Raw genomic sequence first — 15,933 nt, 5'->3', positions numbered from 1 at the left:
CTCCTAGAAGGGGAAGCTTCCCAGTGTGAAGGTCAAATACATTCTCATGTCATGCTTTAGTTTGCTCGTAGTTGGAGCATGCTTTTCTTGAGTGGTTTTGTTTTTCCTGGAGTCTTAATGGACTATTCTTTCTCTTGTTTCAAGAAGAAACATGCCTTTTCCATCATATCACTAGAATCTTCCTGCTTCTTTCTGTTGAACAGAAATTGTTTCCTTCTTAAAGTCATTATTTTGACCCCTCTGACTTCCTGTTCAAATTTGGACTAATTGTTTTCTGGGCTTGTCACGTCACTACCATCCAGGTATTTCTTCACACATACTCCACTTGGGTTAGCTCCCAAAAGCATCCATGTCTTTTAAATTCTTCATTTCTTGAATGCTTTCCTGCAGTTCATCCACAAGTAACATTTTTCAGAAAATGCATATCAAGTGAACTTATAGTGCATTTGAATATCTGTCTTTATATTGCCTCATACTTGATCAATAATTTGGCTAGCTGTGAAATTTTACATTCAAAGCAACCTTCTTCAGAACTTTAAAGGTATTATTCCATTTTATCCTAGACCTGTAGGCCCTTGCCACTCAGTGTGATCCATAGGCCAGGAGCCATAATATCACCTAAGAGATTGCTGGAAATACAGAATTCCCCCACCCCAGAGTCTGAAGTTGAACAAGATATCCAAGGATGTATGGGTACATTACAGTTGAGAAGCCGTTGCATCCTTCAGTGCTGCTTGAGAGGTCTGTGGTCAATCAGACTCTCAGGCCTTGGTAAATAATCCCACGTTTTTTCAGCTTGAGGGTTTTGAGGCCTTTCTTTGTCCTTGCTTGATGTTCTGAAATTCTCCAGGTTGTTTTCAGGTTCTAATCTCTTCCAATGGGTCCCGCCAATCTCCAGACTTTTTTTGCCTTTCTTCATATCTCAAGAATTTTCTTCTATTTCTCTCATTTGACTGCCTCTCTGTATTCTCCAATCCCTTTCTTGGAAATGTTGTAGATTTTAGACTGATTATCCATCAAAAATGGATGGAATGGAAATTTCCCTTTAATCCTACTCCCCCTTTTTTGTCTTTCTGATCTTCATTCTTGGAAGTTTTCTCAAATTTGTTCTTCAGCCCTTACATTGGATTTTTTTTTTTTTGCAATCTTTATTTTTAATTTTCCAAGCACTTCATGGGTCTCTGAATGCTTGTGTTTCATAGCAGGCTGTTCTTGCTTTATGGATACAATGTGGCCACACATCCCTAGGGTTACTAATTAGTTTTTGTTTCTCTATTTTGCTTCCTCCAGTGCCTGTTGTTGTGTTTGTGCATCTTGCTCCTTCTTTTTCACGCTGTTGATTTTTCTTTAATTTTTTTTAGATAATACTATGAAGTCATTGCTCATTTTTTTAGGTGTGATGATGGTTATTATGATTTTATAAGAAAAGATTCTTATTTTTAGAAAATGAACATTGAAGCTCTTAGGGGTGAAGTGTTTTGACGTCTGCAACTTACTCTCAAATGATTTCATGCACACACACACACACACACACTCACACAAACATATGCATAGACGGTAAAAAAGAGAAATTTTAATATGGCAAAGTGTTAACATATAATGAAACTAGGTGGACGGTGTGCCCAGACATTTATTGTACTAGTCTTTCAACTTCTGTCTTGAAATTTGTTTGAAATTTTTGACTGTAAAAGTTGAAAATAAAAATGAAACAAAAATATTTGATGATGCTTGATTGTTCATTCTCTGATTATCCTTAGGAAAATACCCTCGGGAGTCTGAAATCCCTAAGGAATCAGCTTTCTTATAGTAAAACAGATATGTGCTTGGTCTCTTTTATTTTCTTCCTCAGTTCAAATTTGATAGAAACTACACTGGGCTGATGCCCCACCGCTGGTACGCAGCACACATCAGCCGGCCTGCCCCACAGCATGGCTCAGGCATTCCTGCAGGGGAAGAACAGCTAGGTTCCCCAACCCCTGCAGGAAAGGTCTGTCCTACCCCAAACCACATCTCGGCTGAGTCTAGTGTTTTAAGCAAGGAAAAAGTACAAAAGGGGTTTCGTTCTCTTGGCCACCTGCCACAGTCCAGCCCCAAAACAACCCAATGCTCCCTTCTGATTGGAGAAACATTTTGTGCTCTTCTGGACATAAGGCTTGATGGTATTACTACCAGGCTTCCCGTCAGCAGGCACATATCTTGCCATGGGCAGTTCCAAGACAGAGGTCTCTGCAACAGAAGCCAGCCAGATCAGTCAGGAAGAGGACACCCCTTCCTGGTCTTTAAGCAAGTTAATGGCAGGTCATCTGCATTTTTGCATATCTGCACTGCGAAGTAATGAACAATATATGCAAAATCTCTAACTAACATTCTTTAGGGAATCTGCCATAATGGATTAGGAAGGGACCTGTCTTAGTGTATCTCTAATGAAGCAAAAGAAAGTTATAATGGGGTTTCATGGGTGTGGGTAGTAATTGGATTTGGTGGAGGGTATAATTAAATTTCACCAAGGGGCTACAACCTCTGCCCTGGCAAATAATAAAAGGGTCAGAAAACTTTCCATCTTGCTTAAAGGGAAACATGTAAAGCCTGCAGAAATGCCACAGCACATCCCCTCAATCATGGGACAGCAACCTAGCACCTTCAGGATCTTGAAAGTTTTACCTTCTGGTAGAAAGCTGAAAGCACTGTAGGTAATATCAGAATATTGTGAAACTCACTGGCCAGTTTCTCCCCTGTGTCTCCTGAAATTTCCATCTCTACTTCAATAAGGAGAATCAAAGCAGGATCCAGCCCACAGAAGGGTGGCCTCCCCAAAATGGGGAGATTCCAACACACAAGTGGAAGGCTGAGTGGACCAGTACAGGCAGCCAGCACAACCTCCCATCACTGTGGAGGCATCACCCCTGGATGCCCAGCAGCAGAAAACTCCGGGTCCAACGCAGGGCAGTCACCTGGCAGGCTTCCTATGAGGGGGTGCTGACTGATGGCAAACAAGCAGGCTGACCCTCCCCAGCACTAAGCTATGTATTCAGGGGTCTCGGTCTCTCACCCCAAGGGACCAAGCACTGCCTGGCCAGGCTGTTAAGTTTTCTTCCCAGAGAAGGTTTCTGGAGCTGTGGCAGATGCTATTACTGTAGTCGCTCTGATGTGGGGAACTGGGTGTCCTGCTATTAAACAGGCCTTTATGGAAATGCATGACTCTCTGCCTGAATCCCTCTCCTGCTCTCAATCCTTGTGACCCAGTGTCTCTCCACGGTCATCCAGAAGAAACAACCCCACCTCCAGCTGTGTCCACTCAACTTGTGTCTTAGCTCAGGCTGCTATAACAAAATACCATAAACTGAGTGGCTTATAAACAACAGAAATTGATTTCTCACAGTTCTGGAGTCTGGGAAGTCCAAGATCAAAGTAGTGGTAGATTCAGTGTCTGCTGAGGGCTCACTTCCTTGTTCACAGATGGCACTTTCTTGCTGAGTCTGCATATGGTGTAAGAGGCAAGGAAGCACTCTTTGATAAGGCACTAACCCCACCCATGAGGGCAGCGTGATCGTGACCTAATCACCTCTCAAAGGCCCCACCTCCTATACCATCATCTTGGTAGGTTTTGACACATTAATCATGGAAAGACATAAACATTCAGGCTGTAGCAGGTTGGCCTGTCAATTTCATTCCATGCTTTGCATTCTCCAGAAAGTAATAAAAATACTCAGTCATCTGATGGCTTCTCTCCCACTGTCAGTGTCATTGACATTGTCATTTACTTATTCCTGCTTTTTATTTATTCTAGTGATTTGACCTTGAAGAGGGAAGAGCACTAATGCCAATCAGGATGGGCATATGCTTTATCTTATGGCACCATGTGCAAAATAAAGTTAACATGAAAGGCCTGAGACTGCTAGCCTGAGATTTCATCTGGGAACTTGGGTTTGGGAAGATTCCCACCATTCCTTGACTGATAAGGGTGGCTCACTGTGCCTAAACCAATTGAGCACATAATGTGGTTTATGCTGAACGTGTGCTTTCTTCTGAAAGTCTGCATTGATATGTGCTAGGCAGAGGGTGTCTACATGACCAGCCCCCAATAAAAACCATGGACACGGAGTCTCTGCTGAGCTTCCCTGGTAAACATTTCACAGGTATTCTCACAATTTGTTGTTGGAGGAATTAAGCATGTCCTGCATGACTCCATTGAGAGAGGACTCTTGGAAACTTGCTTCTGGTTTCCTCTGGACTTCAGCCCATGTGTCTTTTTCCTTTGCTGACCTTGAATTTTGTGTGTGTGTGTGTGTGTGTGTGTGTGCACGTGTGTGTGTGTGCATGTGCGTGTGAGAGAGACAGAGATGCATGTGTGTGTATATATGTATTTTTTACATATGATTTTGCTGTAATAAATCATAGCCATGAGTATAAGTATATGTCAAGTCCTGTGAGTTCTCCTAGTGAATCATCAATCCTGGGGGTGACCCTGGGGACCGTTGACACACCCCACTTATACAAGAAGTGTTTCCGGCTGGATCATCACTTGAGGTAGCATTTTTCCAGTATGTGTCTGGAAGATATCTGTCTAGCAAATTGGTCAAAACAAGGCTTACAGTCTGGACTTAAGGTCTGTGGTGATCTCTTTCTTAGCAGACTGTAAAACTGGACCATGCCCTGGTTCCTTCCCCAGCCTAGGCCTTGGAGCACTTGTGTGTGTTCTTAGTGCACAGGGTGCCCTGCTTTCTGTGCTGATGTTCATTCTCCCAACCAGGTGCTCAGCCTCCCTGCAGCCCAGCATCCCTGCACGTTCCTGCTGTTCATGGTTCAGAGTTCCTCATTTCATTTTCCATGCTCCCACGTATGTGATAAACAACAAGGAGTCCCTGTTTTTCCCCACACTTCCACTTGAGTTCACATTTAGAAATTGTGATCATTCCCATAACACACTAAACAGCCTTTCCATAATGCTTACAAGCTAGAGCTTCCAATTAAAGCACTAAATCACAACTTCAGGGTCAAGTGCTGTTGAATCACATGCTTATGTTTAAAATATACTCCCAGAGAGAAAGTTGTCAAAAAACCTCACTTGGATCACAAGCTGAGATGGAGAATGTGAATTAATGTAATGTCTGAATTACTGAATATTCTTAAGAAGATTTTTTGATACGACATTTAAGCAGGAGGGAGACAAAAAACAGACAACTTTTAATCTAGCCCAAGTTAAATTATAAGTCTCAATTCTCCCCCAAATAATCTACTCTCCTATAGATATTGCTAAAAGCTAAGAGGGAATGGGGAGCTGCCACTACATGCCACTGTCCTCATTCTAATACACTTTTTAAGATATATAACAATGGAAAGAATGTTCTTTTTTAATCATCAAGACCGTTTACAACATTGAGATATCAATATTTTGCTCTATTTCTTTCTAAACTTATTCATGCATAGGTTTTTGTTTTATACCTTTTTACAAAATTCTTTAAATGTAGCATTTGCATGAATGTAACTGTAGCAATGAAGCACAAGAAATAATTCAGAGAGATCCTATGCAGGCTTTATCCATTTTCTCCCAGCGGTAACACTTTACAAAACATTTACTGGCATCCCAACCAGGAAAATAGTGTTGGTGCAAGCCACAAAGCTTATTCAATTTTCGTGTTATTAATATTCATTTTAGCCATTCTAATAGAAATGTAGTAATATCTTCTAGGAGTTTTGATTTGCATTTCCATAATGGCTACAATGATGTACCTATTTTCATGTGCTTATTTGCCATGGGTATATCCTCTTCAGTGAAATGTCTGTTGATGTTTTTTTGACCACTTTCTAATTGGATTGTTTGTTTGTCACTGTTGAGTTTTGAGAGGTCTTTATATATTCTAGACTCAAGTCCTTTGTTGAAGGTGTCATTTGAAAATATATTCTCCCTGTCTGTAGCTTATCTTTTCATCCTCTTCACAGGGTCTTTCATAGAATAAAAAATTTTATTTTTCATGAAATGCAGCTTACCAATTTTTCCTTTTATGAAATGTGCTTTTGATGTCAACCCTAAGAACTTCTTCCCTGTCCCTAGGTCTCAAGGATTTTCTCCTAACTTTTTTCTAAAAGCTTTATAATTTTACATTTTATATTTAAGTAATTCATTTTGAGTTAGATTTCTTTATAATGTGTGAGAGTTAGGTTGAGGTTCAGTTTATTGCCTGTGGATGTCCAATTACTCCAGCACTATTTGCTTAAAAGGCCATCTTTCCTCCACTGGATTGCTTTTGCAACTTTGTCAGAAAGCTACAGTTTTTATTTCTTCCCTTCTAATCTCTATGTTTTAATTTCTTTTTATTGCCTTATTGCACTGCTAAAACTTTTAGCACTAGTTGAATAACAGTGGACATTCTTGCCTTTTTCCTAATCTTGGGGGAAAAGCATTCAATGTTCCACGATTAAGCATGATGTTAGCTATAATTTTTGTAGACTCTTTCAATTTGAGGAAATTCCCTTCTTTCCTAGTTTGCTGAGTTTTTATCATGAATGGTTGTTGGACTTTGTCAAATGCTTTTTCTGTGTAAACTGACATGATCATGTGACTTTTTCGCCTTTAGTCTGTTGATGTGGTGGATTGCATTTGATTGATTTTTGAATGTTGAAGCATACTTGCATATCAGAGATAAATTCCACTAGGTTGCCATGTGTAATTCATTTTGTGCATTACCAGATTCAATTTGTTAATATTTTGTTGAAGATTTCTGTATCTACATTCATGAGTGATACTAGTATGTAGCTTTATTCTTTTTTTCTTCTATCTTTGTCTACTTTTAGTATCAGAGTAATACTAGCCTTCTAAAATAATCAAGGAGTACCTCTCCTCTTCTATTTTCTGGAAATAGAATTTTCTGAAAATAGAAGAGGAGAGAGTAACATTCTTCTTTAAATGGTAAATAGAATTCTCCAAGGCTTCAAGGCCAGGAGATTTATTTTTCAGGAGCTTTTATATTATTATTAAGGGTTCAGTTTCTTTAAGAGTATAGAACTATTCAGTTTGTCTGTTTCAACTTTGTTGAGTCAGATAATTTCCAGTTTTTGAGGAACTGGTCCATTTCCTCTAAGTTGTCAAATTTATCAATGTAAAGCTATTTTCTAGCATTCTTTTTTTTTTCTTTTTTTTTGAGACAAAGTCTCACTCTGTCGCCCAGGCTGGAATGCAGTGGCACAATCTTGGCTCACTGCAGCCTCTGCACCCCAAGCTCAAGTGATTCTCCTGCCTCAGCTTCCCGAGAAGCTGGGATTACAGATGTGCACCATCACACCCGGCTAATTTTTGTATTTTTAGTAGAGATGGGGTTTTACCATGTTGCCCAGGCTGGTCTTGAACTCCTGACCTCAGGTAAGCTGCCCACCTCGGCCTCCCAAAGTGCTGGGATTAGAGGTGTGAGCCACCACGACTGGCAACCTCATTATTTTTTAATGACTTCATGATCTCTAGATACATATTCTGTTTCATTCCTGATATTGGTGATTTGAGCCTTCTTAATTTTTAACTTTGTCAATCTTGCTTGAGTGTTATCAACTTTGTTGATTCTTTTCAGAGCCAGCCTTTTGTTTCATGGATTTTCTCTATTGTTCTCCTGGCTTCAATTTTATTAATGTATAATCTTAACTTTATTATTTCCTTTCTTATGTTTGGTTTCTACTTATTTTGCTCTTCTCTTTCAATTTTCTTGAGGTAGGGATTTAGGTGAATGAGTTGAGACCTTTCCTCTTTTCTTAAATAAGCATTTAGTACTATGAATTTTCCTTTCAGCACTATTTTATCTGCCTCCCATACGTTTTGATGTGTTGTGTGTTCATGCTCACTCATTTCTATGTATTTTTAAAGTTCCATTAAAATTTCCTATATAACCTATGGATTATTTTAAGCATGTTGCTTAATTTCCAAGTATTTAGAGATATTCTTCTTTTCTTTCTGCTCTTGATTTCTCATTTCATTCTATTATGATGAGAAAACATATTCTGTACCTTTTTAATTCCTTTAAATTTGCTGAGTTTTATTTTAATGGCCCAGGATACAGTCCATCTTGAAGAAAATTCCACAAGTGCTTGAAAAACATGTATGCTGTTCCTGTTGAATAGAGTGTTCCATACATGTTAAATAAATCCTGTTGCCTGGTTATGTTTTTCAGTTCTTTTTTTTTTTTTTTGCTGTCCATAAGTTTATTGTCTTTATCTGAAAAATCGTCATAGAAAATTGTTTGGTGTAGCTCTCAGCAGCCCGCTCCTGAGCTCTGAGGAAGCTTGCCTTCTTTTGAGCTATCTGATCTTTCTTCTGGGCAATGGACATTTTGGGACAGTTCCACCTCTTCTTTTTAACTTCTTTCTTGGGCTTCTTTTCATAGACTTGATGTATAAGCAGCATGAGCTTTCTTATACATCTCCTCCGTCATGTCTGGAGTTACGCTGTTCTTTGTGTATTGAGAGAACTGTTTCTTGTAAGCATCTTCATCTTCTTCCATTAAGTAGCACAGGTAATCTGCAACATTCTGGCCCGTGATGTGCTTCTGGTGTACTTCTGCATTAAATTCCTTGCTTTCAGAATCATAACCAGGGAATCATCTGGTACTATGAGAGACAGATGAGCCTCCAGCCACAGCTCCCTTCAGGGAGCCAAAAAATTTATTGCCAGTGGTAGTTCTGGCAAGGCCTGCATCCAAATAGCAGGTAAAGGCACTTGGCTGACCATCAATGTTTTCCACATTGTATTCATTGCCAGTCACCTACACTTGGCCTTCATAGATGTTGTCTGTGCCAAACCTATTGAGAAGCCTGCGGGCCAGCAGCAGGCCAGTACAATACTCTGCAGCATAATTTGTCAGGCCAACCTTCACACCATATTTTGGCAGTTCGTGTGCGTATGCTGCGCAGACTATCATATCCCCCTCTATACGGGCATAAGCAATCTGACTAATGATATCTCTGTTGGTTAGATGAACTACTATCCTATATTTGGGTGTGTTGTATTTATTTTTATCCTGTATCTCCAAGTATTTCCGAGCATAGTAACCAGTTTTACCCTCTTGTCGTCTTCTAAATTTCACTTGGTATCTCTTAAAGTAGGCCTTATTCTTAACAACTTTAACAAACCCCATCCTGCAAAACAGAGACCCACATCCGTGGCTCAACAGAGACCTGCAGGCCCAGCAGTGCCTGTTTTTCAGTTCTTTCATATCCTTTCTGATTTGCTGTCTAGTAGTTGTGTTAACCATTGAAATAAATGTGTTGAAATATCCAACTATAATTGTTGATTTGTCTATTTCTCCTTTCATTTCTTTCAGGTTTTCCCCCAGAACCTCACAGTATCACATTATATAGTCTTATTATTTACATGTAAAAATTTGTAATATATCTCATCACAGTCTAGTGATATTAATGTTTTACCACTTTGAGTGAAGTGTGGAAACCTTACCTCCATTTAGGTCTCTTTGCCCTCCTCACTTTTTAATTGTCTGAAGTATTTCCTTTATGTATATTGAGCAACACACTTCTCTCCTTCTGAGACTCTGATAATACAAATGCTAGCTCTTTTGTTATTGCTCCACTGATCTGTGTGATTCTGTTCATTTTTGTCTTCTCTGTTGTTCAGATTGGGTAAATTCTGTTGATCTGGCCTCAAATTCACTGATTCCACCCTCTATCATATCTACTCTATTATTGGGGTCAGACTGCAAGTTTGTTAATTCAGTCATTATATTTTTAATTCTATCATTTGAATTTGGTCCCCTTTTATTTGCTTATATTTTTTCTATTTTTAAAATTTGTTTTAAGAGCATTTGTAGTACTTTTATGCACCTTTGAAACACTTTTATAGTGGGTACTTTAAAATCCTTATCAGATAATTCCAACATTGGATTCTTCTTGGTATCCGCATCTATTGACTTTCTCATTTAAGTTGCAATTTTCTTGGTTCCTTTATAATGTGATGTTTTGTTGTACCCAGTGTATTTAGATATGATATTATGAGATGACATTTAATCTTGAAGGGTAGCAAAAGGTCCTGATGGGTATATGTTCACTTTCCTGCTAGGTCCCATCGACACCATGCTGGAGGAAAAGGAGTGCTGATGCACATTGCCTTGTTGGAGACAGGTTGGGGGCAAGTTCTGTTCCCTCTAGGCCCTGCTGACGTCAGGGAAGGGAGTGGGGAAGCACAGGGCCAACTACCCCCTTTTCCCACCACCTCATTGTGCCTCATTGATGCTGGATGAGGTGAAGGCTCCACTGCTTACTGACTCCTGCTAAAAATAGGGGAGGAGGAAGAAGGATATTAACTCCCCCACTTCATCCTATTTCATTCTGTTGATGTCAGGTGAGGCAAGAGGCTCAGCTCCCCACTAAATCCCCTTTAGGGGTTTAGGGGGCAGGGAGGGAAGAGGTCAAAGTGTCCACTGGCTCTGCTGCACGCTACTTGATCCAGTTTCTTGTCATCTTGTGGGTATAGAGCTTCAGCTCCTCACTGGGCCCACAGACACCAAGGGTGGGGAGAACACAGAGTAGTGACTAGTCCCTGCTCACACCTCCTGGTTAGTCTAATCGACATCAGGTGGGAGTAGAGACTCAGCTCCCTGCTGGACCCCTGCTGGCCCCAGGGTGGGTAGCAGAAGCACACTGGTGATGGGCTCCACCTTAAGCCACTTCATTGGTTCTTGTTGCTGCTGAGTGGGGGTGGATTCGCCACCGGGCCTTGCTGACACTACTCTGGTGGGGAATCTGAGCACCACCTGTTTCCACCAGGAGAGGAATGAAAGATGAGCTCCCTGCTCAGCCCCACTAAGGCCACTGGGTGGGGGATGGGAGTACTACCCCTGCTTTTGCCTGCTTCCTTAGGTCAAGGATCCAGTGGAAGATCAGCTCCCAGCGAGGCAGAAATTGTCAACGGCGGTCGGGAGAATGGTTATGTTTTTTTGTTGTGTCTGGCTGGTGTAGCATGGGTATCACCAAAAAGATTTTCTGTCATCAGGCCACCATCTTCCTGGTCCCTTGGCTAGGGGATTAGGTGTCTCCTGGAGCATATTTTGTGTGTGCCTATTAGAGATACAGGGGATGTGTATCCTGTCTGGGATATATGGGAGACAATAAGGAAATCCAGAGACCTTATTGCTGTTTCATTGTTCAAGTCCCAAAGTCCCTAGGCAGCCTCCTTCTTCCTTCCCCCTTCCAGGGTCTTCTCTTCCCATGCTTGTCTGTTGTATTTTGTCCAGGGAGTTTAACTGTGAAGAGGAAAATCTGTAAGGAATGGGGCTATTCTATCTTAGCAGGCCAGGAGTCCCTATTGTCCTTTTTTGAGAACTCCAAATCATGATCACATTCTTTATACAGTCAAGTGCCCAGCGAAAAATTTCCCATCACCTAGCGATATCTTTGCCATCATGATGTCATAGCACAACACATCACCTTATCTATGCTTTGATGTGCTTCCATATGCAAATACTTAAACATAAAAATTGTTTTAGGCACTGTTGGTGGGAAGGTAAATTAGTACAGCCACTATAAAAAACAGTATGGAGGTTTCCAAAAAACAAAAACAAACAAACAAACAGAAACTAAAAATAGAACTACCCTACGATCCAGCAATCCCACTAGTGGGTATTTATCCAAAGGAAAAATAAATCAATATATCAAGGGTACACCTGCACCCACATGTTTATTGCAGCACTAGTCACAATAGCAAAGATGTGGAATCAACCTAAATACCCATCACACAAAGAAATGGAGAAAGAAAATATGGTATATACACATAATGGAATACTATTTGGCCATAAAAAATGAAATCATTTCATTTGCAGCTACATGAATGGAACTGGAGGTCATTATGTTAAGTGAAATAAGTCAGGCACAGAAACACAAATATGGCATGTTCTTACCCATATATGGGAGCTAAAAAAGTTGATCTCATAGCAGTAAAGCGTAGAATGATAGATACCAGAGGCTGGGAAAGGTGTGGGGGCGGGTAGGGGGAATGAACAGAAGTTGATTAATCCGTACAAATATACAGTCAGGCAGAAGGAATAAGTTATAATGTTCGATAGCAGAGTAGAGTGACTATAGTTAACAACAATATATTGCATATTGCAAAATACACAAAAGAGAGGACTTGAAATGTTCCCAACACATAGAAATGATAAATACTTGAGGTGATGGACACCCTAAAAACTCTGGCTTGATCATTATACACTCAAGGCATGTAACAAAACATCACATGTATCCCTTATATATGTACAAATACTATGTATCAATAAACAAACAAAAATTATGTTGCAGTAGCCTATGGTATTCAGTACAGTATCATGCTGTACAGGTGTGTAGCGTAGGAGCAATAGGCTCCACCACATAGCCTAGGTGCGGAGTAGGCTGTGCCATCTTGGTTTGTGTGAGTGCACTCTATGATGTTGACACAACGATGAAACAGCCTAATGACAAATGTCTCAGAATATGTTCCTGTTGTTAAGCAATGCATAACTGTATGTTTTTGTATCATTTTTACTTACCGTATCATAAGTTTTAAATTTCTGTTATAAATAGCACTCTCTGAAAGCACTATTTTAAAAGCCATATAATTCCCCACTGAGTGGCCAGAGCATGATTTATACTGTATAATAATTTTCCTATTGTTGAAAATTTGGACTCCAACATTATTGCTACAATAAATAATGTACTGGTGAAAATGTTTGTGCCTTAAAGTTTCCTGTATTTCAGGCTGTTATCTTAAAATACAGCCCAGAAGTAGAATTATACACAGTTCAACAGCAACATGCAAAGGGACCCCCCTGTGCCAACATGGGGACTTCAACATACTTGAAAACATGAGCCGATTGGATTGAGAAAGGAAAAGAGTATTGCCGAATAGTCTAATATGCATTTCCTTGATCATTAGGAGGCTGATCCATTGCCGTTCTTTTGTAAACTGGGTTTTCATGCCTTTTGCTTGTTCATCTTCTGGGGCCTTACATACTCTTTCAAAATACCCTTCCTAGTAGAAGAATCTGACTCACTATGTATAAGTGGTTTTCTTAAACCAAAAAGATAAAATTCAAAGTCAAAGATCAGCTAAGAGAGAAATAACGTAATCCCCTGTTCAGCTACAACAAATATCAAGTGCCTAACAGGAAAGCACCTGCCAATTAAAGAAGGCAATCAGATAAAGATAAAATATATGAAACACTTCAGACTTCTGGATAACTCTTGATCTTGAAAACATTTCCCGAATCTTACCTGAAGCATAACAACATCGTCACCTTCAAAAGTGGCAAACACATCTGTGTCACACTTTAAGCCTGAGATTCGATTTTCCATCATGTAACCCTGTTGCAGAAAGAGAAAAACACACACACACACACACACACACACACACACACACACATTTCAAATTTGCGATCCCATCACTACATAGGACTCACATTTTCTTTAAAATTAAAAAATATACAGAAAATTGAAAAGAGGTAAACAATCATATTTCTCCTAGCCAAAATAACCACTGTAAGAATTTTGATTCCTTACATTAGCTTTTAGTTCACGAATATTATTTTGGTGGTAGTAAAAACTATTTGAAAATGGTTGTGTCATATTTCTGCAAAAGATTTCAATAAAGTGGACTGATTTTTTTTTTACCTCGTTCTTCAAAATTCTAATAAATGCCAAGGTACTAGTGATTATACCTCACCATATGTAGGCAAATGATGCCTCCCCCACCCCCAGCAACCCTTCTGAAAATTAGCCTGTATACCTACAAAACTCCTCGGGAGGCAGCATAAATGTCTTAAATTGCCACTCTGCATCTTAATATCATTAAATACTCTGCGCCATCAATTCTCACTCCAGTATTTTTTTTTCCTTTTACTTCCTGAAATCCTTATTTAAATGGCAGCATTGGCAGTGTTTCTGCACACAAACCAGAGAATCAGCTACACAGGAGAAAGTAAGTTTGGCCCCAAGTAAAACATGAAAGAAGCAAAGCCTGTCTTTGTGTGGGTCCCAGGTCCTTCCCCTTCTGAGGGCCTCTGCACTACCTCCTTCTTCCAGCTCTTTGTTTTCCCCATGAAATATCCAGAATTGCTCCCCCGTCCAAGCCTGCTTCCACAAATCACTTCTGCCTGTGTCAGTCACGTCAGAGCTGACTGTCCTGTTACTTCTCCCAGGAGTATGTGCAGTGAGCACTTTAGCTCTGAATAAGGAATGACAAGTTTTGCTCTGATAATATTTTCAAGCCACAGAGGCCCAGGGGCAGTCATACTCTTGAATCTCCAGGTACCTTTCATGCCTGGGGGACCTGCTTCATTTCTGAAAATGGCCACAGGGGTCTTAGAAGTCTGGATTTCCAGGTGCCTGCTGCCCTCAGATGCCTGAAAACTTGTTAGCATCAGTCCTGCTCCTGTGGGGAGAACCACCCTGGAAGGCCCGGCCACCTTTCCCTCATCTCCATCAATGCTGACTGGGCGGTGTTACCACCTGCAGTTTACAGAAGCAAAGGAGTCCCCAGCAGAAGCCTTAATTACCTTCATAAGGTTAAACTGATTGTGCTTATGAGTAAGTAAATCAGTAACATTTCCAACCAGAAGTTCACTTCCCCCCACCCCATAATAATCACAGGATTAAAACTGCCTGTGGGCAAACCACATGAAAGCAGGTTCCGATAAAGTGCGGTCCTGCCGCAGAGTGATTTCCGCATAAGGCTACAGTGGACTCATTTCCACCCTTCTCATTCTACAGTGCCCTCTATGCTAGATACTGTGCTGGGACTTCACACAGACTTCCTTTACCTCACAGAATCCTTTAATCCTCACAACAGCCCTGTGAAGAAGGCATTATCCCTATTTTACAGATGAAGCAAGTGAGGCTCAGGATTGTGTTGGAATGTTCTTGAATCATCTGTCAAGTTCTGATGTGGAAGAAGAGTAACACTAAATATACCACCTGATATGGTTTGGCTCTGTGTCCCCACCCAAATCTCATCTTGAATTGTAATAATCCCCACGTGTCATGGGAGGGACCCAGTGGTAGGTAACTGAATCATGGCAGTGGGTTTTTTCTGCCCTGCTCTCATGGTAGTGAATAAGTCTCACAAGATCTGATGGTTTTATGAAGGGTAGTTCCCCTGCACGTGCCCTCTTGCCTGCCACCATGTAAGACGTGACTTTGCTCTTCCTCCATCTTCTGCCATGATTGTGGAGCCTCTCCAGCCATGTGGAACTGTGAGTCCATTAAACCTCTTTCCTTAATAATTACCCAGTCTCAGGTATGTCTTTATTAAGCAGTGCAAGAACAGACTAATACAGCACCTCAGTGTTGAGAAGCAGTGGTTATACCTAAGAAGTTCAGATGCAAAACACTCAAAATACTAATGTTGAAGAAACAAAGTGTTTTTTTTCTGAGCATTTTGCTCTCCTCTTTTCCGGTGGAGGAGAGGGCAACAGGCTCTTTGTTGTTTTCTGACACTTTTTAAACTTACTTCCACCCTGCCCTGGAAGTCAGGCAATCTGGCTTTAAAATGACCAGAAAGAGAATCTACTCAAAGGGCAGAACCAGCAAACAGACACCAGTAGTCTCTAAAAGAACAGGCAATGGAGTTCTGGGAGCACAAAAATGTTTTGTATCAGCTCTTCACATGCAATATAATTCCCTTCTCTCCTACATGGTGAAACTCAGCTGTGAGCTCCTCTTCTAGTTTGAAAGTCAAGTGAAACTGGATGTTGATTCTGGACTCTACCTGGCCCTTGAGAACTGAGGTAACAGGGCTCACAGCCCTCAAACAGCTTGCAGGGAGCTGAAAATGAAATGGCAACGAGAAAAATCAAAGTCCAACCACATGGGAGGCAGGCTCGTGGTTGTCATGTTGCTTCCCATCTCCTGAAAGTAACAAGGTGTATTTATGATCTAATTTCTTTAGAATAAGCCAGAAAGGCCTGGCCTCAC

General features: G+C 40.6%; 1 protein-coding gene and 1 pseudogene across 29 annotated transcripts in view, besides 1 other annotated feature; both read right to left on the bottom strand.

Annotated features, from left to right (window-relative positions):
- ACOXL (acyl-CoA oxidase like) overlaps positions 1 to 15,933 on the bottom strand; it is a 385,976-nt gene that overhangs the window by 141,599 nt on the left and 228,444 nt on the right. For 23 of the 29 annotated variants that reach the window (NM_001437600.1, XM_011511414.4, XM_011511411.4 and 20 more), the window contains one exon: positions 13,237 to 13,326. The exons of the other annotated variants lie outside the window; for them this stretch is intronic. In NM_001437600.1, the coding sequence (NP_001424529.1) occupies positions 13,237 to 13,326 (90 nt within the window). The remainder of the gene's footprint in view (positions 1 to 13,236; positions 13,327 to 15,933) is intronic. 29 annotated transcript variants of the gene reach the window in all.
- Positions 2,753 to 2,940: a silencer, noted in NCBI's record as "fragment chr2:111731587-111731774 (GRCh37/hg19 assembly coordinates)". NCBI's record gives its function as "represses an EF-1alpha promoter that drives an FKBP-Casp9 reporter gene in an ReSE screen in K562 erythroleukemia cells {active_cell/tissue: K562}" and the evidence as "EXISTENCE:reporter gene assay evidence [ECO:0000049][PMID:32094911]".
- On the bottom strand, positions 8,170 to 9,174 carry RPL5P9 (ribosomal protein L5 pseudogene 9; annotated as a pseudogene).

This window comes from Homo sapiens, chromosome 2 (assembly GCF_000001405.40).
Source record: "Homo sapiens chromosome 2, GRCh38.p14 Primary Assembly".
Taxonomy (NCBI): domain Eukaryota; kingdom Metazoa; phylum Chordata; class Mammalia; order Primates; family Hominidae; genus Homo; species Homo sapiens.
This window is presented reverse-complemented; position numbering and strand designations above follow the sequence as displayed.